Genomic DNA, 26117 nt, shown 5'->3' with positions numbered 1-26117 from the left:
CTGAATTAAGTGTTTTTCCCCCTTTATTTCTCATCTTCCTTTTGGTTTCTAAAATTACTATTTGGCTTTGTTACCTGTAGAGCCAAATAGTAATTCATTAGCATTTATAAGAAAACACCTAAATTATCTCAGTAGAAGGAGTTAACTAAAACAATATTGATGGGTTTCAGTTTTATTCTACCTTAGTAGAATACTGGAGACCATTTTTTTGATGGCTATCTCCACTGGTTTCCCATACCTTGGAATGATTTATTTTGGAATAAACATATACAACCTACTCTATTGTTTGATTTCTTTTCCCCAGAAACACTAGTCTCTAAAAATAGCTGAATCCAAAAAATTATTTCAGATGCCTGGGATCCCTCTCTTCATTAACAAATACTTGAGTGCCCCCCATGTGTCAGGCACTGTTCTGCAAGTTAAAATACAGTGTGATTTTAAAAAATTACAGTGTGAGCCAGGCACAGTGACTCACACCTGTAATCCCAGCACTTTGGGAGGTTGAGCTGGGAGGATCGCTTGAGCCCAGGAGTTCGAGGCTGCAATAATTATGATCACACCACTGCGTTCCAGCCTGGGAGATAAGAGTGAGACCTTGTCTCAGAAAAAAAATTACCATCTGATCAGGTAGGGATAGGTCTAATACTTTGAGAACTTATAGGGAACCTTTTAGCCCAAGCTTGAGGGGTCAGGGAAGGCATCTGGAACAAAGTGTCACCCAAGCTGGGACCCATAGCAGAAGGCCAGGGAGGCTCAAGCATTTTCAGACAGAGGGTAGCAGTGTCCTCGGGGGGAGTAGTGTGCTCAGAGAATGGCTTGCATCAAGAAATAACTTGAGCATACCTAAAGATGTGAGGAAAAGCTTGTGCAAAATCCATATGTGCAAAGCTTTGTCCAATTTTATTCAAGCTGCATTTATAGAGTTCCTTCTATTTAGAAAGCAATACACTATCACGCCTCTAATCCCAGCACTTGGGGAGGTTGTGGTGGGCAGATCACGAGGTCAGGAGATGGAGACCATCCTGGCTAACACGGTGAAACCCATCTCTACTGAAAAATACAAAAAATTAGCTGGGCGTGGTGGTGGGCACCTGTAGTCCCAGCTACTCGGGAGGCTAAGGCAGGAGAATGACGTGAACCCGGGAGGCGGAGCTTGCAGTGAGCCCAGATCACGCCACTGCCCTCCAGCCTGGGCGACAGAGCGAGACTCCATCTCAAAAAAAAAAAAAAAAAAAAAAAAAAAATATACTAGATGGCAGAAAAGCAAAAGACAAAAAAAGCAGGGAGAGGGGTAAAATAGCATTTACTGATAAGTAAATAAGTAAATAAATGACTTCCTTTTTTTTTTTTTTTTTTGGGGCAAGTTATTAAACTTGCCCAAGATCACTCAGCTAGTGTTCGTGGTGAGAGATCTCAACAGCTAAATTCTAATCCATGCCCCATGCCCTTAGCCTCTTGCTATTTTCTTTCCAAAATGTGTCCCTGTGTTAGGCATTTTATATAGAATTTTTGACTAGCTAGGGTAGGTAATGGTATATGCCTCAGAGAAGTAAAGAAACTTGCACATGTCACCACAGTTAGAGGCCCAGTGAGAACCTGTAAGTTCTCCTTTTAACTTCAAACTTTGTGTACATTTTGTTATACTATGTTATGTGTTATTTTATTTGATAGAAGCAAAAATTCATATACCAATTCTTTGGAGAAAAATGATTTGTAATTAAATGAACTTAATTTGAAGAGTAGAGGTTAAGAAAGGATAATACATATGATTTGGGTTATGTTACGTTGCATATTGGACATATGAAACTATCCAGCATGGAGTAGAAATTCTAGGACTGGGCTGGGCGTGGTGGCTCACGCCTCTAATCCCAGCACTTTGGGAGGCCGAGGCGGGTGGCTCACTAGAGGTCAGGAGTTCGAGACCAGCCTGGCCAACATGGTGAAACCTCGTCTCTACTAAAAATACAAAAACTTAGCCGGGTATGGTGGTGAGCACCTGTAATCCCAGCTATTCGGAAGGCTGAGGCAGGAGAATCACTTGAACCCAGGAGGCGGAAGTTGCAGTGAGCCAAGATTGCGACATTGCACTCCAGCATGGGCAACAAGAGTGAAACTCTGTCTAAAAAAAAAAAAAAAAAAGAAACTCTAGGAGTGGAAGCCAGGAAAGTTAGGCCTTAGGATCCAGCTTTGGGAATCATGTGGAATAAGTGACTTTTGATGAGTTGAGAGTAAGTGAGCTCGCTCAGAGAAGGGAGAGAGACTGACTCTTTATTGATTCCTGGGAGTAAGAGTGGAGGTAGGAAAAGAGGATTCTGCAAGAAAAGAGAAAAGTGGAATTTATTCTCAATTACACAGCCTCATTTTTGTTGCTTTTGCTCTGGGTCTTAGTGTTTTTGAAGGCACAAAATATCCTTTAAAAGGCGATAAAGAGATCAAATATTATTGAAGTGAGTCTGTCCTGATGTAAACATTTACATTCTTGTTGACCCCTGGGAATTTGGTCAATGTTACAATTGTGCTATTGTCTAGATTCATGTTTCTACACATACCTGAAGCTCTTCCAAGAACAGTAGCAGTGATTATTCTAACATGCCTGCAGACTTGTCTATCATCATGTTTCTGAATAATAGAGTAGTGAGCTTTTTATTTATAACATTTGATGTTATTTAGTGGTTCCATTTTTTTATATTGTGAGTTTATATGAGAGTTTGAATAAGCTAAAATTACTGGGTAATTCACAGTTCTGAAAAATATATGCTTCCTCATAACTAGTCTTGGGACTGCAGGATAAGCATTCAGTTTCTGTACTAATTGTGTTTCAGATAAAACTTAAAGCTATGTGTAATTTTATGGAAGGCGTATTTATAGAGTTCTTTCTATTTAGAAAGCAATGTATTAAATACTAGATGTCAGAAGGTTAAAAGACAAAGTAGATCTGTCTTCTGACTTCAAATATCTTGCTATTGAGTAGGAATTATGAAATTATTATAAGGCAGGGGGATTGACTTATGCTGATTAGGAATAGGGCTAGGGCAGTTTGGAAAAGGGCCATGTGTGTTCTTTCACTTGAGTCTTTTAAGGTGAATAGGTTGAGTACGGGATAACATTTCAAATGGAGTGAAAAAAATATACGGTGTATCATGGGAGGAGAAGCTGGTTATGGCATAATTTTAGAGATTCTAGATCTGTTTTCAGAAATCAAAGTTCTGTGGGGTTAGGCTTTTTACTATCAGAGAAAGAAGTTATAAATAAGCCAAGAGGGAATACTAGAATGAACCTTGTGATGCTAGACTGGAGTCAGAAATATCAGTATGAATTTATAGTTTATAAAATTTTTATAGGGCTGGGCGCGGTGACTCACACCTGTAATCCCAGCACTTTGGGGGGCCGAGGTGGGCAGATCACGAGGTCAAGAGATCGAGACCATCCTGGCCAACATGGTGAAACCCTGTCTCTACTAAAAATACAAAAATTACTCGGGTGTGGTGGCGCATGCCTGCGGTCCCAGCTACTCAGAAGGCTGAGGCAGGAGAGTGGCTTGAAGCCGGGAGGCAGAGGTTGCAGTGAGCCGAGATCGCACCACTGCACTCCAGCCTGGTGACAGAGTGAGACTCCATCTCAGAAAAAAAAAAAAAAAAAAAAAAAAAGTATAGGTAGATATAGAGCTAAATAAAGAAATGTGTGCCTATAGGCCAGGCACAGTGGCTCACACCTATAATCCCAGCACTTTGGGAGGCTGAGGCGTGAGGATCACTTAGGCCCAGGAGTTTGACACCAGCCTGGACAATACGGGGAGACTCTGTCTCTACAAAAAAATTTAAAATATTAGCCAGGCGCGGTGGCATGTGTCTAGTCCCAGCTACTTGGCAGGCTGAGGTGGGAGGATCATTTGTGCTCAGGAGGTAGGCTGCAGTGAGCTGTGATTGCACCACTGCAGTCCAGCCTGGGTGACAGTGGATTCTGTCACACACACACACACACACACAAAAAGCAGTGTGTATACATGGGCCAGTATACATACATATAATTCTTGGTTTTGTCCACTAAGACGCCTAGAAGCAGTGACATCTCAGTGGCAATGAGCATAACTAGTAGTGCCCAGATGCTAACTTCTCCCATAAAAGAAAACAGGGCTCCTTGGGGAAATAGTTGATTCCAGGGCTGAGGCATGGTAAATACAAGACGAGCCTGGAACATCTTGCAGTGCTAGAAAGTAAGGAAGTGCTAAAAACAAAACAAACAAAAAACAGGGCAAGTTGAGAGAACACTGGAGCCAAGCCAAAAACTCCAAGAGCTGGAACAATTTAAGCAATAAAATAAGGATAGTATTGGATTATAATACAGGGAATAAAGTAACTATCTATGAAACCATCCTAATATAAATAAATGGTTGGGCTGGACGTGGTGGCTCATGCCTGTAATCCTAGCACTTTGGAGGGCCGAAGCAGGAAGATCATCTTGTGGCATACTGCCAAGGTTACTACTTGAGACCATCACTATGACAGTTACTACTGTTACTACTTGAGACCATCATTATAAGACTGAACTAAGGGTGTGGAAAGCAGAAATGAAAACTTAAAAGTAACTATTTTAAAGGAAGGGGTCAGAGGAAGAAAAAGAGAGTTCCCTGCTTCTAGTGAGCAAAGGCAGCCCACTGAGCTTCCACAGCCCTTTGTATTTATTGGGTAGAAAGAGCAGGGAGGAGGAGGTAACGATTGGTCAGCTGCTTAATTGATCACAGGTTCATATTACTGTTAACAGGTATCAATTATGCCTAATCACAAGAAACACTGCTGGTGTGACTGCCCTCAGCATTCCTTCTGGGTGGCAGATGCAATTTGTCAGTTTGCCAACATTCTGCATTCATGAGAACAGTTTGCTGTTTACTCATATAGCCTCCAGTGGTATACTGAGTTGATCACGACCCTCACTCTTTCGGCCTTCAACATCATCTGAGCTCAGGAATTTGAGACCAGCCTGGACAACATAGGGAGACTTCATCTCTATGTAAATGGTTCTAAGTAATGTAAAATCTTCTAAGTAAATGGTTGAATAAATGAGGGAGAACAAATCTTCGTTATAGAAGAATTTCAATTAATAAATGTAGAAAGGATGACAGTAACAGAAAATCACCATTAGAATACCAGTAATAATTGCCATAAGCAAGACACACCCATGAATGCTAAAATTAATGGGAAAAAGTTTAAGGAGAAACAGAGTCAAAGTTCTCCCTCATAATATTTATGAATTACAAAGGGAAAACAAATAATAACTTTACAGAGGAGAAACCTGATATACCACATTAACCATGTGATCAAGGCTAATGTCGTGAGTAATAAGACATCACATCAACATCACGTACCCTCTGATATGATGCACTGTGAAGGGAACATCAACTCTGGATTATTCCTTTCAAACATTTATAATCTCAATCTAATCTGAGAAAATATCATGTTTTTTAAAAAAACTTTTTTTTGTTTTGTCTTTTGAGTATTGCAAGATGTTCCAGGCTGATCTTGTATTTGCCCTTCCCCAGCTCTGGAATCAACCGCTTCTCCAAGGAGTCTTGATTCTATTTTATTGGAGAAACCAAGAAACCCAAATTGAGGAACATTCTACATAATATCTGACCAATACTTTCAACAATATCGAGGTCATGAAAGACAAGGAAAAGCAGAGTAACTGTCATAGATTGGGGTAGACTTAGGAAGACACGACAACTAAATGCAGTGTATGATCCTGAAACAGAAATAAGACGTTAATTAAAAAACTGGTGGAATTTCAATAAAGTCTATAGTTAATAGTATTGTACCAGTGCTCATTTCTTAGTTTTGCTAATTGTACTATGGTAATATAAGATAAAGCTAGGTGAAATGTATATGGGAACTCTTGTACTGTTTTTGCAACTCTTATGTATGAAATTGTTTCAGAATAAAAGGTGAGTGCTCACTTCAGTCATACATATACTAAAGTTGAAATGATACAGAGAAGATTAGCATGGTCCCTGTGTGAAGTTAACACACAAATTTGTGAAGCAGTCCATGTTTAAAAAAAAAAGTTTAAAAAAAAAAGGTTAAAGAACTATTAACTTCCAGCCAGGCACGGTGGCTCACGCCTGTAATCCCAGCACTTTGGAAGGCCGAGGCGGGCGGATCATGAGGTCAGGAGTTCAAGACCAGCCTGACCAACATGGTGAAACCCCATCTCTACTAAAAATACAAAAAAAAAAATTAGCCGAGTGTGGTGGCACATGCCTGTAATCACAGCTACCCAGGAGGCTGAGGCAGGACAATTGCTTGAACCTGGGAGGCGGAGGTTGCAGTGAGCCGAGATTGCGCCACTGCACTCTAGCCTGGGCGACAGAGTGAGACTCCATCTCAAAAAAAAAATAAATAACTATTAACTTCCAAAAAATGTTCAAGAATGTGAATTTAGTCACTATTTTTGTACAGAAATATAAATTTAGAAATGTAATTTTCTGAAAAAACATTATGTAGCAATGTATTTCATGTTGCTTTTATTTAAAATTCCCTTTGCAACTTGAAGTTTTTTAGTTTTTTTTTTTCTTTTAATTGCTCCCTTTTACCTGATGACATTCAAATTGGGAAGAGAGGTTGGTAGAAAAACTAAAACTCTACAATCTATTTCTTAAAAATAATGTTTTTCTTTTCTTTCTTTCCTTTCTTTTCTTTCTTTTCTTTACTTTTTTTTTTCTTTTCTTTTCTTTTTTTTTTTTTGACAGGGTCTGGCTCTATAGTCCAGGTTGAGTACAGTGGTGTGATCACGGCTCACTGCAACCTTAACCTCTAGGCTCAAGTGACCCACCTCAGCCTCTTGAGTAGCTGGGACCACAGACACACCACCATGGCCAGATAGTTTTCTGTATTTTTTCTTTGTAGAGACAGGGTTTCACCATGTTGCCCAGGCTGGTCTCAAACTCCTGAGCTCATGTGATCTGCCTGCCTCGGCCTCCCAAAGTGCTGGGATTACAGGCATGAGCCACCACATGTGGCCCATTTTTTCTTCATAAGTGAGTTTGTAGTTTTTACTTTGTTCTAATTTTTTGAGGCTATGTTCAGGAAGCCATACAGCTTGAATAAGTAACCATCTCAGGAGAAAAAAAAGAGAGGAGGCCACTGAGATCGGATATATAAGAACAGGATTTTATTAGTGGCTTGGGGAGGGCTGGTTGCAGGGCCAGCTCATTTATTTTTTGGTTTGGTTTGGTGGTTTTTTTTTGTTTTGTTTTTTTTGGTTTTGTTTTGAGACAGAGTCTTGTGCTGTTGCCCAGGCTGGAGTGCAGTGACACAATTTTTCTTCTGCCTCACCCTCCCGAGTAGCTGGAATTACAGGCATGCACCACCACGCCTGGCTAATTTTTGTATTTTTAGTAGAGACAGGGTTTTACCATGTTGGCCAGGCTGGCCTCGAACTCCTGAACTTAAGTGATCCACTCACCTAAGCCTCCCAGAGTGCTGGGATTACAGGCATAAGCCACCGCGCCCGGCTGTTTTTGTCCAAGCCTGGTTTCTGAGAGACAGTTTCCTTGGTCAGGAGAGTCTGTAAATGAATTTATTAGAATAGGTTTCTTGGAGCAGTTACCGGCCTCACCGTAAGCAACAGCTTGAGGAAGCAGATACCTGGGGCAGATTTCCCAGTGAGTCACTCTTCAACTTTTCAAGGACCTTTGTTCGAGAGATCTTTATCTCCAAGCTACAGCTTACCCTACCCTAGGACAATTTAGTGGCCCATCTCAAGCTACCTGGTTTGATAAAAGAACATTGATCCTGGGAGTTAGAACTCTAGCTCTAATACTAACCAGCTGGTGACTTTGGAAAATGATTGGAGCTTTATGCATCTCAGTTTCCTCACTGTAAAAAAGGGGATTTGGTTACTTGATTTCCAAGCTACTTTCTTAATGAAAAAAATCTGCCATTTGTATCTGAAACTGAAGGCATCTTCCTTCTCAGCAAACTGTTCCCCTTTCTATGTATACCATTTATTTGTCATGCAACGATCCTTCTAGTCTCTGAAGCTAAAAATCTGTGTTTATTTTTGTTATATGTTTCCTTTAACTCTTGCAGCCAACTGTCTTCCAATCCAGCAGTTCTTCCTTCACAGTTCATGTGGTAGTAGAATGCATATGACTGAAGAGAATGGGTTTTGGAGTCTGAAAGTCTGAAAATGGAACTCATATCTGAGAGAGACTGTGTGGGTGGGGAGAGATAATATACCTTTCTTTTTTTTTTTTTTTTTTTTGAGACAGAGTCTCGCTCTGTCGCCCAGGCTGGAGTGCAATGGCATGATCTCGACTCACTGCAACCTCTGCTTCCCGGGTTCAAGCAGTTGTCCTGCCTCAGCCTCCCAAGTAGCTGGGATTACAGGCGCCTGCCACCATGCCTGGCTAATTTTTTGTATGTTTAGTAAAGACAGGATTTTGCTACATTGGCCAGACTGGGTCCGGAACTCCTGACCTCAGGTGATCCGCCTGCCTCAGCCTCCCAAAGTGCTGGGATTACAGGCGTGAGCCACCATGCTGGCCCCAATACCACACCTTTAATGCAGGCCAATGAAAGCCAGTTACTACAATGGAGGGTATTCCAAGTGAGCCCAGGATAACTTTTAAGTTTCCCTGAAAGCAGGAATGATTATCTCTGATATTCACCACTCTGGGAAGATACTCACCACTATTCTCTTACTGAAAAATAATTTGTATGGGTTTTCAGCTAGGTGGTTCAGGGATTTTTCTAGCTGGTTTTCTACATTGGCTAAAAGTGGCGGTTTTAATCATTCTTCATTAATTGTAGTTGAAAGAAAATGGACTTTGGAATCAAACAGAATATGCGTTTGAATCCCAGCTCTGCTACTTTATAGCTAAGTGATCTTTGTAAAGTTAATATGTCTGAATCTCAATTTCGTTACCATAAATATAAGACAATAAAACCAATCCTGTAGAATGATTGTGAGGATTGAGATATATGCAAAGCATAAAGTTAGTGTCTTAAAATCTTCCAAGAGTCGGATTTCTAACTTTAGCTTTGAATTTGTAGTTTCCTATTGTATATCATTTGGATTTCTCTTGCTGACATGTATGTCTCAACATGTGTAAATCAACACTCATCATTTTCCCTCTTCTTTCTATATTTACTGTCTCTGTTAATGGAATCAACAGCCTTCCATCATTCGGGTTTGATGATGCCAGCTTTGATTCTCTTTTACCCTAAGTTCATTTTATTCTAAGAACTGTCAATTTCTCTCTTCCCACTTTTCCATTTCCACCTACCCTAATTAATTTACGAATTTAAACCTTGATTACCTCTCACTTAGTTTCAGGATCTTCTTGACTAGTAATTTAGACTCCAGTCTTTTTCCCTCTTAGCAAGTTGCACACTACTGCTGAATAATATTTTAAAATATGATGTTAGTCATGTTACATGCTTTTTCAGAAACTTTCTGTGTTCCACCAGAGAGACTGTGGTTAATCCACTACAGAGATCTTATCTTACAGGTGTGGATATTGAGGATCAGAAACTTTTTTTGTTATAAAAACCATGCATGTGCTAAGTAAATAGCACATAAGATTAGACCTAATCTCTGATCACTCATGGGTTACTTCTTCCCACTATTGAAATATGGCCCAAACTCCTTAGCATGGTTTTCTTCCCAGTCAGGCCCCATTATGTCTTTTTTTTTTTTTTTTTTTTTTTGAGACAGTTTCGCTCTTGTCACCCAGGCTGGAGTACAGTGGTGCAATCTCGGCTCACTGCAACCTCCGCCTCCCAGGTTCGAGAGAGTCTCTTGCCTCAGCCTTCCGAGCAGCTGGGATTACAGGCGCGTGCCACCACGCCCAGCTAATTTTTTGTATTTTTAGTAGAGATGGGGTTTGGCCATCTTGGGCAGGCTGGTCTCAAACTCCTGACCTCAGGTGATCCGCCTGCCTCAGCCTCCCAAAGTGCTGGGATTATAGGCGTGAGCCACCACACCTGGCCAAGTCTTGTCTATCTTCAACTTCTCTTGCACCTAGAGTTTAACTCACTCCCCAAAGGTGCTAATGCTATTCTCCTCCTTCCTCCTCCTGCCTTCACTTTGATGAAATTCTGCCCGTTCTTTAAGTCCCAAGTCATCTGATATCTTTTCCTTTCCCTCTCACAAAGCCAGAAAATCAGGTCTTGTATTCCTACACCACGCATAGCCTCTAACCACATTCTGTCTTGTACTATAAATATTTGTGTGTATGTCAGCAAGCACAGTAGATTATGTACACCATTCAGGCAGGGACATCTCCCTACATCTCATAAGAAGTAGTTATTCAATAGCCTGGTACCAGAGTCTATCAAAAATCATGTATTGATTCTCACGTTTATCTGTTTCATAGGTACTAATCACATTGCTAAGAAATAACATTATGCTTCTGTGAAGACAAGTGTGGTCAGGGTGAGAGTCATCTCATTCCCTGAGTGTAAGAACTCTAAGAACTGTGTGCCTCTCCTAGCTGTATACCAAAATAGATGTTCTGACTTTTCTTAACTTTCTGGCTGGGAGTAATCAAAACCACGGACTTAGACTTGGGAGTTAACCTTTTTTTTCTTTATCGTGCTCGGTATCTCAAATAATAAATCCTTTTCCTTTTTTAGAAACATACCTTTTTTTTTTTTTTTTTTTGAGGTGGAGTCTCATTCACTCTGTCACCCAGGCTGGAGTGCAGTGGCATGATCTCAGCTCACTGCATCCTCTGCCTCCAGGGTTCAAGTGATTCTCCTGCCTCAGCCTCTCAAGTAGCTGGGATTACAGGGGTGTACCACCACACCTGGCTAATTTTTGTATTTTTAGTAGAGTCTGGGTTTCACCATGTTGGTCAGGCTGGTCTTGGACACCTGACCTCAAGTGATCTGCCTGCCTCGGCCTCCCAAAGTGCTGGGATTGCAGGTGTGAGCCACCGTGCCTGGCCTGCAAATGTATCTTGTATATATTTTTTCCCCTTTGATCCAGAGTTGATCTTTATGGAAGAACTGACAGTATTTATACCCACAACTATATTGGTAGTATATTTCTACCAAATAATATCTTAAAGCATTCATTAGCATTTCCTTAACTTGCCTTACAGAGTTTAAAAAAAACTATGATAGTTTTATATAGTTAAGTTTAGCTGAAATGTTTGTTGCTTCTGTGTCTTTTTCATCTTAGAGAAGGGGCTGGCATTGTTTGGTGAGTCTGCCAGTTTAATACCAGATAGACAAATAGGTATCATGTATTATTTGGTACATTCCAGTTTATTGCAAAGTACATGTATAGAATTAAGATTATTTTGTTCAGGAAGAAAAGAAAACATTAAAAACACTAAACAGTAACATTTATTGCTTACTTATTCTGTATCAGGGTCTTTTCTTCTTTATCTTATTTATTTCTCATAAGAATACTGTGAAGTAAATGCTATTATTATGGATGAGAAATCCAAGTTTTAGGGAAACTTTTCATTAAGTGATGAGGCCAACATTCCCACTTAGACTTATCTGTCTCTAACCCAGAGCTCCTTACCATTAAAGGGCATACTATGCCTTCCAACATGAGGATTAAAACATATTAACAAAACTAGTATTATTTTCCGACAAGGATTTCATTGGAAGAACAAATATTACATGTAGAACAGTAGTAGTGTGGTCTTTTAGAATTGTCCATTGCTTATTCTGCATCACGGGACTTTTTTTTTTTTTTTTTTTTTTTTTGAGAACATCTTGGTCTGTCACCCAGGCTGGAGTCCAGTGGCGCAATTCATAGCTCATTGTAGCCTCCAACTCCTGGGCCTAGTAGCTAGGACTATAGGTGTGTGCCACCACGCCCAGCTAATTTTTAATTTTTTGTAGAGAAGAGGGGGTCTTGCTATGTTACCCAGGCTGGTCTCAAACTCCTGGCCTCAAGCTATCCTCCCAAAGTGCTGGGATTACAGGTATGAACCACCATGTCTGACCCAGGACCTTTTTTTTTTTTTTTTTTTTTTTGAAACGGAGTTTCGTCCTTGTTGCCTGGGCTGGAGTGCAATGGTGTGATCTCGGTTCCCTGCAACCTCTGCCTCAAGCAATTTTCCTGCCTCAGCCTCCCAAGTCGCTGGGATTATAGGCATGCGCTACCACTCCTGGCTAATTTTGTGTTTTCAGTAGAGACAGGATTTCACCATGTTGGTCAGGCTGGTCCTAAACTCCTGACCTCAGACCTCAAGTGATCCACCCACCTCGGCCTCCCAAAGTGTTGAGATTACAGGCATGAGCCACCATGCCCAGCCTGACCCAGGACTTTTAATGTGAAATGGCAGCTTGAGTTGCTGGATTTAAATACTCTCTGTGTTCTACAGTTGTCAAGGTTATTGAAAGCAGTACCTGATGAACCATACATTCAACCAGATCAGTTATGCTCTTCGGTTGCCAAGAGCTGCAAGTAGTACTTTATTTTTCTTTTACTTCTGGTAAGCTGTGAATTAGCAGTACTTTATTATTATTTTTTTTTAGTTTTCAAGACTCCTGGATCAGAAACAAAGTGGTACTTTATATTTTTCACTCTTCAAATAAGGAAACTGTTGACTCATTTCTAATCTCTCGTCTTCTGGACAAAGGTTGGAACTCCTTTCCTTTGGTAATTAGTGGGGCAAAATAACCAAACGATCCAGATTAATGGGTAGGGACTAGGTGATATCAAGGGTATGGCTTTATGTATTCTTTGGCTGAAAGGGATGTTGGAAAATAGGGTTTGTCTCCTGAACTTAAAGTACATTATACTTCTCCTTGATAAAGGCTTTAAAATGAGAATTATAACAAGAGTCAATGATAATAATTATACTTAAAATGCTCTTAATACTACTGTAATATACCCAGTATTTTAAATATATTATCTCCTTAAATCTATATCAAAACCTCCTAAAGATAGATATTATCCTTATTTTTTAGCTGAAGAAAGTGAAATGGAAAATATTACATAATATGTTCAAGGTAACAAAGTTAGGATTTCCCCGAAGTCTGTCTCACCTTAAAGCCCTGCTCTTCCTATTACACCACGCTGCGCCCCCAGCTCTCTCCCTGGCACTGAGTGGCCAGTGCTGCAGAGCTTGGGGAGAGAGGGCAGCCAAAAGAAACTTGAATGTAGGTAGAAACTAATTTGGACCTGGCTCTACTGAGATGCTGACTGTACCTCCCCTGGGATGTAATTCAGAAGAGGGAAACATTTCACTCCAAATGTGACTTTGGAACAGACTTCAGTTCAGGGAAAGGCCAATTGATGTTTGCACAGTGGGGTCAGTCATAAAATGGAACTGGAAGGGACCTTAAAGGTCATCTGGTGTAGCCTCCTTTTATAAGAAACCACAACCCAAAGATATTGGATCATTTGACCAAGGTTACACAGTTTGGGGGAGAACAGTGGAGGAGTGTGGTCTGCAAGTTTAGGGCTCTACCACACCACTGCCAATCCTTGGATGTTGGAGAATCCTCTTCTGTGTCTAATGTTCTGACTTTCTTTATTGCATAGGTATTTCAGTGTCTGTAGACAAGATGGAATCATCTCCATTTAATAGACGGCAATGGACCTCACTATCATTGAGGGTAACAGCCAAAGAACTTTCTCTTGTCAACAAGAACAAGTCATCGGCTATTGTGGAAATATTCTCCAAGTAAGTGCTGATCCTGGTCCAAAAGGACCATCTGTCTGGAGCACACATTGCCACCTGTCAGGGAAATTGGTGAAGGAAGTACATAATGTAAAATAATTTTATTGGGCGCCTCGTGGATTTTAAACACTATATGAGGTACTGTGGAGAAGGAGGAGGAGGGTAATAATCAGAAGATACATTCTATTCTTTGAATTTTTGTTTAGTTTGTGGAAGAAACAGTTATAGACACAAAAATTATTTTAAAAAAGATAATTATGAAATAATTATAAAGCAAAATATCAGCAAGTCTAAAATGAATAGGAGTGAGGATTAGGTACAGAATAAGAGACAGAGCATCACAGACAGGAGCTCATCAGGAAGGCTTTCTGGTTGAGATGAGTGTTGAGGCGAGTTTTGATTTGGTTGAATGGTGCGTTAAGCACTCTCTATACCTGCACTTTCCAATGTGGTAGCCACTATATAGGTGGCTATTTCAGTTTAAGTTAATTAAAATTAAATAACATTTAAAATTTAGTTTTAAATGTTTACCAGCTGCATTTATCACTTTTCAAGTGCTCAGTAACTACTTGTTGGTGACTGTCGTATTGAACAGCACAGAAACATTTCATCATTGCACGAAGTTCTGCTGAAAAGTGTAACCTACACAGGCACACTACAGCCCACTGGCTGCTGATTAGTAAATAAAACTTCATTAGAACACATCCGGTCAGGCGCGGTGGCTCATGCCTGTGATCCCAGCACTTTGGGAGGCCGAGGTGGGTGGATCACTTGAGGTCAGGAGTTCAAGATCAGCCTGGCCAACATGGTGAAACCCTGTCTCTACTAAAAATACAAATATTAGTCGAGCATGGTGGCACATGCCTGTACTGTAGTCCCAGCTGCTCAGGAGGCTGAGGCAGGAGAATTGCTTGAACCCAGGAGGCGGAGGTTGCAGTAAGCTGAAATCGTGCCACTGCACTACAGCCTGGGCAACAGAGCGAGACTCTGTCTTAAATAATAATAATAATAATAATAATAATAATAATAATTCCAGCATTTATTTTGCTTTTGAAGCTCCAGTTTGGGCAGGATCTCTGCTCTACTTAGCATCAGCCAGGGTGGCCCAAAGGCTGGGAGCTGTAATCATCAAAAGGCTGGCTCACTCACAAGTCAGGCGGTTGATGCTGTCATCTGGGATCTCAGCTGGGGCCATGGTAGGAACACCTACACATGGCCATTCCATGTGGCTGTTTGGCTTGGTGGCTCAGTTCCCAGGGCAATCATCCAGAGACAGAGGGAAGGAGGGAAGAAAAGGGGGAGTTCAAAGTTGTGTTGCCTTTTATGACCTAGCCTCGGAAGTCATACAGTATCACTTTTACCACATTCACTTCATTAGAAGTGAGTCACTAAAGCTGACTCATTTCGGGGAAGGGCAATTTGACTCCACCTTCTCTGATAGGAGGAATGTCAGAATTTTTTGGACATTTTAAATTTTTTTAATTAAAAAAAAAATGTTGAGACAGGGTTTCACTCTGTCACCCAGGCTGGAGTGCAGTGGTGTGACCACACAGCTCAGTGCAGCCTCAAACTCCTGGGCTCAAGCAATCCTCCCACCTCAGCCTTCTGAGTAGCTGGGACTATAGGCACACACCACTGTGCCTGGCCTGGACATGTTTTAAAATCATCCTATATTCTGATTCAGTATGTGTGGATAGAGTCCAGGAAATTATGTTTTTAACAAGTATCCCAGGTAATTTTTACCTTCAGGGAAGTTTAAGAAGCACTGGTAGTGGAAGGGATGGACTTGTGGAGTCAAAGCAGTGAGCTTGAAGTGGAATGAGTCGAGTCTAAGATAGGAGATTGAAGCAAAGGATTATGGAAGCTGAACACGAATAAAGGGAATAGGAAAGCAAGCAGTCTGCCATGGAAAAATACAGAAGGGAGAAGGAACTGGTGTAATTCATTTAGGGCCAGATGGAAGACCTCGGATGCTCTGCTAAGGTTAGGATTTAGTAAGAAAACCAGGGAACGCAATTGGTTTTCATGTGGGGAGAGTGACATGATCAGACCGGTATTTTAGAAAAAGCCTTCTGGCAACAGTGTAAAGCTATATTAGAAAGGTGAGAGATTGGTAACATGGAGACAATTTATGAGGCTCTCTTGGGAACCCAAGTGAAAGCTGTTGGGGGTCAAGGGGGAACAGGAATAGAGAGAAAGGGAAGGATATCAGACGGTGTTGAGATGTGATTATGGGACTTGGAAACTCCCTGTCCTGCACAGAAACTTCTCCACGTTCTTACCCTTTTCACCCTCCTTAGCCCCACCTGTCTTTAACTAAACTTGGCTTTCCCTTGACATGCATGACATGCATTCTGTGTTTGAGCAGTGGCTGCCTGCTCTTTCTTTTTTTTTTTTTTTTTTTGAGATGGAGTCTCACTCTGTCACCCAGACTGGAGTGCAATAGTGCAATCTCAGCTCACTGCAACCTCCGCCTCCTGGGTTCAAGCGATTCTCCTGCCTCAGCCTCCCGAGTAGCTGGGATTACAGGCACATGTCACCATGCCCGGCTAATTTTTGTATTTTTAGTAGAGATGGGATTTCATCATATTGGTCAGGCTGGTCTTGAACTCCTGACCTCATGATCTGCCCACCTCGACCTCCCAAAGTGCTGGGATTACAGGCGTGAGCCACCACGCCCGGCCTGGCTGCCTGCTCCTTCTGCACATGCTTCCCTGAAATATTTTGGGGGCCAGGGTTGCTACTCTTCTATATCTCCAATAATGTTTCCCATTCATTGTTTCTCATGCCTGCTTCTGAAGTTCTAGACATGTGCTTTCAGGCTCACATCTAACTATAATGCACTGTTATCCTCCCCTTCATTGCAGTGGCGTGCCAGCCTCCAGGGGACGCTGGCTTCTAGCATCATTTTTTTTTTTTAGTGTTTCTCACTGGGGGTGCTGTAGCATTTGGGGTAAGGCAGATCTTCCCCATGCAGGGTATTCATCATCATGCCCTCCTCTAAATGAACCCATGACATTGTGACAACCAAAAAAGAAAAAAAAAAGTGATAGGGGAGAAAACCCAACAAGATTCTAACACATGTGTCTAAATGTCCCCCAGGGCCATTGGCACCAATGGTGTCCTCATTAAAGGATCACTGGGTCCACATCAGTGACCTGTCTGATACTTTGGGCTCATAATTTCTTTTCTTTTTCTCTCTCTCTCTTTTTTTTTTTTTTTTGAGACAGGGTCATACTCTGTCGCCCAGGCTAGAGTGCAGTGGTGCAATTATGGTTCACTGCAGACTCGACCTCCCAGGCTCAAGCAGTCCTCCTGCCTCAGCCTCCCAAGTAGCTGGGACCACAGGCATGCACCACCATGCCCGTCTAATTTTTTATTTTTGTAAAGACAGCGTCTCACTATGTTGCCCAGGCTGGTCTTGAACTCCTGGATTCAAGCGATCCTCCTGCCTCAGCCTCCCAAAGTGCTGGGATTACAGGTGTGAACCACTGTGCCCAACCTGGACTCATAATTTCTTGATCTTCCCTGTTTCTGCAACCTGCATGTTGTCTCCCATGCCTCTGCCTCCCGTCTCAACCTATCACTCAGAATCCTTCTCTGAAATGATGCATTTGGAGAACCTACTGTTTGATTGGAGCCTTCTGTTTTTCCACTTGTTTAACTCTTATTCCCAGTGACCCTGTGTTTTGACCTCACCAGGACACCCAGCCCTGGATGTCAGTCCCCTTCCTGGCCTCACTTTCTTCCTTGCCCAGCTCAGTCACTTCAGTGAGGCTCTCACCTCTTCCCCAGTGCCTTTCTCACCACTCTATTCTGTCATTGTCCAGCCCAGCCAGTTCTCATTAGGATTTGGGTCCTATAGTAGCACTAAGGAGAGTTAAGAGGTTGGAAAAGGCTTCATCTTTAGGGCCTTCTTAATCTTGCAGAGAGAAAGTGCAGAGGGATCTCACAGGTCCTTCTCATGGTATACTGGGTTCACTGTCTTTTCTCCATGAAGGCTGAAAGGATTGCAAAACTGTCAATCCTGAACCCATTAATTACAATCAGTGTGCCAGGCACCATGCTAGACCCTTGATAGAAACACATACTATTTTGGCTGGGCACGCTGGCTCATGCCTGTAATCTCAGCACTTTGGGAGGCCATGGCAGGTGGATCATTTGAGGTCAGGAGTTCAAGACAAGCCTGCCCAACATGGTGAAACCCCATCTCTACTAAAAATACAAAAAAATGGCTGGGCGCAATGGCTCACACCTGTAATCCCAGTACTTTGGGAGGCTGAGGCGGGCAGATCACGAGGTCAGGAGTTCAAGACCAGCCTGGCCAACGTGGTGAAACCCTATCTCTACTAAAAAATACAAAAATTAGCTGGGCATCGTGGCCCATGCCTGTAATCCCAGCTACTCGGGAGGCTGAGGCAGGAGAATTGCTTAACTGGGACCTGGGGGGCGGAGGTTGCAGTGAGCCGAGATCACGCCACTGCACTCCAGCCTGGGCTACAGAGCGAGACTCTGTCTCAAAAAATAATAATAATACAAAAAAATACAAAAATTTAGCTGGGCGGTGGTGGTGCGTGCCTGTAATCCCAGCTACTTGGGAGGCTGAGGTGGAAGAATCACTGGAGCCTGGGAGGCGGAGGTTGTGGTGAGCCAAGATCATGCCACTGCACTCCAGCCTGGGCAACAGAGTGAGACTCCGTCTCAGAAAAAAAAAAAGAAATATATAAAATATATACTATTTTGAATCCTAACAAAAACTATATGAGGAAGGGGCTTTACCCCTCTTTTATAGTTGAGAAAACTGAGGTAAAGGAAGTAACCTGCTGAAGTTAATATTTGAGTTTGTTCCTGTCACATATTTTTCTTCTGATGTGCTTAACACATGGAACTGGTTTGGAAAGATGAATAGAGTTATTTGGTAGGCTTGGAGAATGCTGAAGACATTCCAGAGGAAGGGGAGCAACAGGAGGTAAAGGCATAGAAGTAGGACAGGTGGTGGTATATACTGAAAGGAGTGAAAACCAGGGAATCAGCCTGGATTTCTGTTCTAGGTTTTATACTCAGTGGAAACACGTTGCTAATATTACTTAAGGTTTGTAAGGTTCACTCACTGCAGCTTCCCAAAGAAGACTGCAGGACTATTTTCCGAGATCAGTTGAGATCAGGCGCGTTGAGGGTGGTATGGCTGTAGACTACAGGACTATTTTCCACAAAGCATATACTAATGTCTGTTTCCAACACCTAGTGGCTTTATATTTATGGGGTTTGCAAATAGTGAGTCCTATACAAGCCTAGCTAAAAACAGTAGGAAAACTTAGGAGGTCTCTGATCAGAGATTAATATGAAATTGTTGTTTGGAGGAAGCTTAATCTAGCTGATGTTTGTAGATAAGTCAGCTTTACTTTCTAATTGTTAACAGTGCATTTTGTGTTTATATGTATAGAAGAGTACTTTTTCTAGCATCAGAGCTTGTGTCCCATGGTCCTTTATAGCTGCAGGCTTATTTCTCTGACTAAGCCTCTATAACAGTCGTTAAATTTGAGGTAAGAAGTTCCTATTGATACATCCATTTGAATAGCTAGCTTTGGTTTCACTCACCACTGACTTCAGCATAATATGATCCTTCATTTGATAACAGTTGACTCTTTGGGTGGAATTTGTTTGACTCATACATTTTTGGAATTAAAGAGAATCTAGCCTGGTAGTTTTTAAACTATCTTAATTGAAGTCTTCAGAGGAATCTCAGGGCCAGTTCTCCAACAACTGGAACACCCTAAGGGCTAAACCCAAGCCCAGATCCCAGGCCCAGATCCCAGTCCCAGATCCCAGGCCCAGCTCTTTAGATTTTCCATTCCAGCAATCCTGCTTTGATCCCTTGTAAAGGTTAGGTTCTGCGTAAGACAGCATTTGAAGAGAGGGTTCTGCAGCTAGCAGAGCTTGAAACCACTGGTCTGGCTAGCATTTGCCCTATTCCTTTGACAGATTAGGAGCTTGAGGATTAGCAATTATGACTGAAGGTCATACACCAAGATGGTAGAATTGATGATCACAGCATGAAGATCCCTAACCTAACCCCCTGCCAGCATGCCTCTACCTTATCACAGCTTCTCCTGTTTTTGTTATAACTTTACCCATTCCTAGTTCCAGGAAACAGGAGGAGGCCGGGTAGAGAGGATCACTTGAGTCCAGAAGCTCAAGGCTGCAGTGAACTATGATTGCACCACTGCCTTCCAGCCTGGGTGACAGAGTGAGAACCTATCTTAAAAAAAAAAAACAAAGAGCGTTCATATTTAGTTTTCTGTGACTATTCTTCCTTCAATAAGAAAAAAATTGACCTTCAAGTCAGCCTGGTTAACTTCCTCTTCTTTCGCTTCTCTGTAACATTTTAGTGGTGAAATTTTTCCAGAAGAAAATACATTGCTTAAACCTTGGGAGTTTCTGTTTTCCCTTTTTGGCTCAGCATTCCCTTTGCTCTATTTGAGGGCATACAAGCAAGAGTCATGGCTCAGGAACTCTGTTTTCTGGCCCTAGAAAAATTTGAGACACTGTTATTACTCCCCAGATAATTTTAGCGTCCTCCATCAGCTGCCTGCCCCACAGCTGAGCATTAGTGAGCTGTTGCAAGATTAAATTCCTTATGTAAAGAAAAGGAGGCTGGACCGCAAAAAAAAAAAAAAAAAAAAAAAAAAAAAAAAAAAAAAATCTGGGAAGGAAAGAGGAACAAAATTTTAATTACAGAAATTTTATTGTAAATGTTTTATTTTCTCAAATTTGGATCTTCAAAATGGTGCCCCCATTTTGTGTCCTTCACATTTTGTGTCAGAAGAATGCTAGTTGCTGTAAGGGCCTCTGAGAAAAGTCTGAGGCCTGAACACGGAATTCAGAAGTATTGAGCCTCAGTCTTGTGGCAATCTAAGAGTACAAAATATAAAAGTACCAGGGATCTAACTTGGAAGAAAGAGGTGGTGTAGAGCCTTTCTCCCTGTTATCTACTATTTAGCAGGAACTTCATTACAAATAAAAGGTGGAGATATTTGAGTAGGGGTTTGAGAACAGGATTAAAGACAGCCTTTGGTGTATACACCTGGTCTTACAGATGCCTCCATGCTAAAAGGACAAGGCTAAAGATGGGAACTATTTTGATTTTTTTTTAATCTATGTTTCTATTAGACACTAAAGGGAAGGGAACCTCTGAGCTTATTTACTCAACTAACCACAATGTAAATACCTTGCCTTGGAGAACAGTTGGCTAAATATAAACCTGTCTGCCAATTGGTTCTAGTTTTCATATATTGTATTATTGCTGTAATATACTGTAGATGATTATCCAAGGGGTGTGGAAACGCAAGTTCAAGGCCAGTTCTAAGTTCCTTTTTATAATAGCTACAATCCACTGTATCCCTGAATTCTCACTTTTAGGGAATCTCTTAGACAGATATATTAGTACAAGTGGGAAAAATATACGTAAAAGGACATTCCCCAAAGCGTTATTTGCAATGGTGAAAAACTGGAAACAATCCAAATGCCCATTAAAGGAATATGGGTGAATTAATTATAATGAGAGAGGATTGTCAAGATTACCAAACACTTCCATGTTGCTAAATCAAAGGGATGTTTCTTGGCCTTTATCTTACATGAACTCTCACCACTTTTTCCCTCCCACATTTTTGCTTCTCTTGGCTTCTCTGGCAGTCTCATCATTTTCTTCCTCCCTCTCTCTCTCTTCCTTGTCAGTCTCTCTTATCATTTGTTCTGACTGCTGAAATGTTCGAGTCTCCAGGACTGAGTTCCAGGCATCTTCTCACACTACACACTGCTTGCAGATGTCATCTACTCCTGTGGCTTTAATACCATCCATGGGCACGCAAGTTCTAAATGCATACAACTAGCTCAGAGCTTTCTTCTGAGCTCCGGACACATGCATCTCATCACTGCTACCACCAAATGGATGTTTTAGTTAACATGGCTAGCATTGAACTCTTGATCTTCCCCGTTTCCAAATTTGCTCTTCTTTCACAATTCCTCGTCCCAGGAAGCATTACTTCCATTGACTCAGCTGCCAGAAACCTAGGAATCATTCTCTCTTCCCCATCTGATTACTACCCTACTGATTCTTTCTCGAAATATATCTCAAATCTATTCACTTTTCTTTATCTCTAGTGCCATTATCTCTGCAGCCCAGCCAGCATTATCTCTCATTAATGCCACCTCCATTCTCAGCCCCTCCAGTCCATTCTCCACACTCCAGAGCACTCTTTAAAAACACGAATTGAATCAGTGACCATCCTACCATTAAATTCAAAGTCCTTAGCATTACCTGCATGGCCCATCCCTGCCTCCCGCCTCATTGCCTGCCCTTTCCCCTCTCAGTGAGCTTCTGCAACACTAGAGTTCTTTGTGCACCCTATATACATGAGACACTTTCTTGCCTTGAGGCCTTTATGCATGGTGTTTTTCTGTTCCTGGTATGCTTTCCTCCCTTCCTTTTGTCTGGCTAACTTCATCTGGTCAAACTTCACATCTCAGCCTACAGGTCATTTTCTCAGTGAGGCGCTCCTTTTAAAAATTTTTTATTTTATGTTATGTTATGTTATGTTATGTTATGTTATGTTATGTTATGTTATGTTATGTTATGTTATTTTGAGATAGAGTCTCACTCTGTTGCCCAGGCTGGAGTGCAGTGGCGCCATCACGGCACACTGCATCCTCAAATTCCTGGGCTCAGGTGATCCTCCCACCTCAGCTTCCTGAGTAACTGGGACTACAGGCGCATGCCACCAAGCCCTGCTAGTTATTTTTTTTTTAAGAGATGGGGTCTCGCCATGTTGCCTAGGCTTTTCTCAAACTCCCGGGCTCAAGTGATTGGCCTGCCTTGGCCTCCCAAAGTGCTGGGATCACAGGCTTGAGCCATCGTACTCATCCATTTGTTTTTAGCTGACAAAGAATAATTTTACATATGTATGGGGTCCAATGTGATGGTTTTTTGTTTGTTTTTTGAGACAGAGTCTCGCTTTATCACCCAGGCTGGAGTGTGGTGGTGCTATCTTGGCTCACTGCAACTTCCTCTTCCCAGGTTCAAGCGATCCTCCCACCTCAGTCTCCGAGTAGCTGAAACTACAGGTGTGCACCAACGTGCCTGGTGGCTAATTTTTGTCTTTTTAATAGAGACGAGGTTTCTCCATGTTGCCCAGGCCAGTCTTAACTCCTGGCCTCAAGTGATCTACTCGACTCAGCCTCCCAAAGTGCTGGGATTACAGGCATGAACTACCACATCCAGCCAATGTGATGTTTTAATACATGAATACATTGTAGAATTATCAAATCAGGCTAATTAATATAAGTGAGGCTTTCCTTGATTTCCTCTTCCTTTCTCAATTGTGTTCCTTTGTTATTTAATAATACCCTGTTCTTTTTTTTCAAAGGACTTACCACTCTGTGTGTGTGTATGTGTATGTATATTTGTGTGCTTCTGTTTTTAGTGTCTAAATTGTAAGCATCGGAGAGCAGATATTATGTCTGTTTTGGTTATTTCTTTCGTTACTTTTTCTCTAGTGCTTGGAACATAGTAGACAGCAATAAGTATTTCTCGAATGAAAATGTCAGCTTCTCTGAATTTCTCTCTGAAATGGAGAAAGGGAGAAGCAGAATAGTATGTATCACATTATCTCATTTTTGTTACTTAAAACTCAAATATGAGTTGCAAATATTTTCTCCCACTCCATGGGAACTTTTCACTTTGTTGATAATGTTCTTTTTTTTTTTCTTCATGATTTTTTTTTTCTTCGTGAGACAGAGCCTCGCTCTGTCGCCCAGGCTGGAGTGCAGTGGTGCAATCTCAGCTCACTGCAACCTCCACCTACCAGGTTCAAGCGATTCTCCTGCCTCAGCCTCCTCAATAGCTGGGATTACAGGTACCCACCACCACACCCAGCTAATTTTTATATTTTTAGTAGAGACGGGGTTTTACCATGTTGGCCAGTCTTGACTGACCTCAAGTGATCCACCTGCCTCGGCCTGCCAAAGTGCTGGGATTACAGTCATGAGCCACTGCACCCGGCTTGTTGATAGTGTTCTTTGATGCGCAAAAGTTTTTTTTGTCTTTTTTTGTTTGTTTTGTTTTGTTTTTTTTGAGACAGAGTCTTGCTTTGTCGCCAGGGCTGGAGTGCAGTGGCGCAATCTCGGCTCACTGCAATCTCCACCTCCTGGGTTCAAATGATTCACCAGCCTCAGCCTCCCAAGTAGCGGGGATTATAGGTGCCCACCACCACACCTGGCTAATTTTTGTATTTTTAGTAGAGACAAGGTTTCGTCATGTTGGCCAGGCTGGTCTTGAACTCCTGACCTCACATGATCCGCCCACCTTGGCCTCCCAAAGTGCTGAGATTACAGGTGTGAGCCACCATGCCAAGCCTCAGAAAAGTTTTTAATTTTACTGAAGTCTAGTTTGTTTTTTCTTTTGTGCCTGTGCTTTTGGTGTTGTATTCCAATAAGGCATTACCAAATCTTGTAATGATGAGATGATCAAAAGATAATAAAAAATTAAAATAAGATGAAAAAATAAGAAAAACAAGAATAAGAAAGAAAAACGACAAAAAATAAATTTCAAAAAATCATTGCCAAATCCAGTGTCATGAGACTTTTCCCATATGTTTCAACCAAGAGTTTTATAGTTTCAGCTCTTATAGTTAGGTCTTTGATCCATTTGACTTAATTTTTGTATATGGTAGTCCAATTTCATTTTTTTGCATGTGGCTATCCAGTTTTCCTAGCACCATTTGTTGAAAAGATTTTCCTTTCCCCACTGGATGGTCTTGGCACCCTTGTCAAAAAATTATCTGACCATACATGTAAGGGTTTATTTCTGGGCTGTGTGTTCTGTTCCATTGGTCTGTATATCTGTCTTTATGCCAGTATCATACTGTTTTGTTTTAACTGTGGTAAAATACACAGTATATAACATAAAATTTACCATTTTAACCACTTTTTTTCTTTTTTTTTTGAGACCGAGTCTCACTCTGTTGCCCAGGCTGGAGTGCGGTGGTGTGATCTCAGCTTACTGCAACCTCCACCTCCCAGATTCAAAGGATTCTCGTGCCTCAGCCGCTCGAGTTGCTGGGACTACAGGCATGAGCCACCATGCCCAGCTAATCTTTATATTTTTAGTAGAGATGGGGTTTCACCATGTTGGCCAGGCTGGCCTTAAACTCCTGACCTCAGGAGATCCGCCCGCCTTGGCCTCCCAAAGTGCTGGGATTACAGGCGTGAGCCACTGCACCTGGCCAACCACTTTTAAGAACACAGTTCAGTGGCATTAAGTACATTCATATTATTGTACAATCACTACCACCTTCCCTTTGTCCTTTTGTTGCTGCACAGTATTTCATTATACATATACATTATAATTTACCACTCCTCTGCTAACGGACATTCAGGTTGTTCTCAGTCTTTTGCTGTTATATTTAATGCTATGATAAATAATCCAATATTAAAATCTTTTTTTAGTGTATCTATAGGACAAATTCTGGGAGCAGAAAGAATTGGTAAATTATAACATTTGTGCTTTTATAATTTTGGCAGATATTAAAGAAGGCATAGACAAAATGCCTTCTATAAAGGTTTTACCAATTTACCTTCCCACCAGCAATGTAAGACAGAACCTGTTTCCCCATACCCTCACCAATGTCCCATATTAGCCTTTTTTGTTTGTTTATTTGTTTTAAACAGAAGTTCGGTGGTACAATGACAGCCCACGGCAGCCTCGAACTCCTGACCTCAAGCAATCCTATCGCCTCCACTTCCCAAAGCGCTGGGATTACTGGGATTACAAGCATGAGCTACCCAACCCAACTGCATATTAGCTTATTAGCTGTGTGCGTGTGCGTGTGTGTGTGTGTGTGTGTGGTTTTAAGGAGCAGAGAGTCTTTAATAGGCAAGAAAGACGGAAGAAGCAGCTTCCCCATACAGAGACAGAGGGAGAAGGACTCCAAGCCGAGAAAGGGAACCCCCTGCATATTAGCTTTTTAAGAAAATCTTTTCCGGCCGGGTGCGGTGGCTCACGCCTGTAATCCCAGCACTTTGGGAGGCTGAGGCAGGCGGACACCTGAGGTCAGGAGTTGGAGACCAGTCTGGCCAACATGGTGAAACCTCATCTCTACTAAAAATACAAAAAGCTTATCCGGGTGTGGTGGTGCGTGCCTGTAATCCCAGCTACTTGGGAGGCTGAGGCAGGAGAATCACTTGAACCTGGGAGGCAGACGTTGCAGTGAGCCGAGATCACGCCACTGCACTCCAGCCTGGGCGACAGAGTGAGACTCCATGTCAAAAAAAAAAAAAAAGAAAAAAAAATATTTTCCTACTTAATAGGTAAAATGTTGTTAGCATTGTTTGAATTTGCATTTTGAGGTTGAACATCTTTTCTGTTTAAGAGTCATGAGATGTTCTTTTTGTGAACTGTATGTTTTTGTTT

General features: G+C 41.7%; 1 protein-coding gene and 1 pseudogene across 10 annotated transcripts in view, besides 1 other annotated feature; both read left to right on the top strand.

Annotated features, from left to right (window-relative positions):
- Nucleotides 1–26117, top strand: part of LIMA1 (LIM domain and actin binding 1) — a 107733-nt gene that overhangs the window by 21234 nt on the left and 60382 nt on the right. For 7 of the 10 annotated variants that reach the window (NM_001394893.1, NM_001394892.1, NM_001394891.1 and 4 more), the window contains exon 2: nt 13513–13654. In NM_001394893.1, the coding sequence (NP_001381822.1) occupies nt 13536–13654 (119 nt within the window). In that variant the 5' untranslated portion in view covers nt 13513–13535. Of the gene's footprint in view, nt 1–12351; nt 12605–13512; nt 13655–26117 lie in introns of those variants that run through there. The other 3 variants (NM_001394888.1, NM_001394886.1, NM_001394887.1) reach the window with 2 other exon arrangements.
- On the top strand, nt 5943–6049 carry RNU6-1093P (RNA, U6 small nuclear 1093, pseudogene; annotated as a pseudogene).
- Nucleotides 15268–15317: a silencer, noted in NCBI's record as "silent region_4450". NCBI's record gives its function as "represses an Ori minimal core promoter by ATAC-STARR-seq in GM12878 lymphoblastoid cells {active_cell/tissue: GM12878}" and the evidence as "EXISTENCE:reporter gene assay evidence [ECO:0000049][PMID:35858748]".

This window comes from Homo sapiens, chromosome 12 (assembly GCF_000001405.40).
Source record: "Homo sapiens chromosome 12, GRCh38.p14 Primary Assembly".
Lineage (NCBI taxonomy): Eukaryota > Metazoa > Chordata > Mammalia > Primates > Hominidae > Homo > Homo sapiens.
This window is presented reverse-complemented; position numbering and strand designations above follow the sequence as displayed.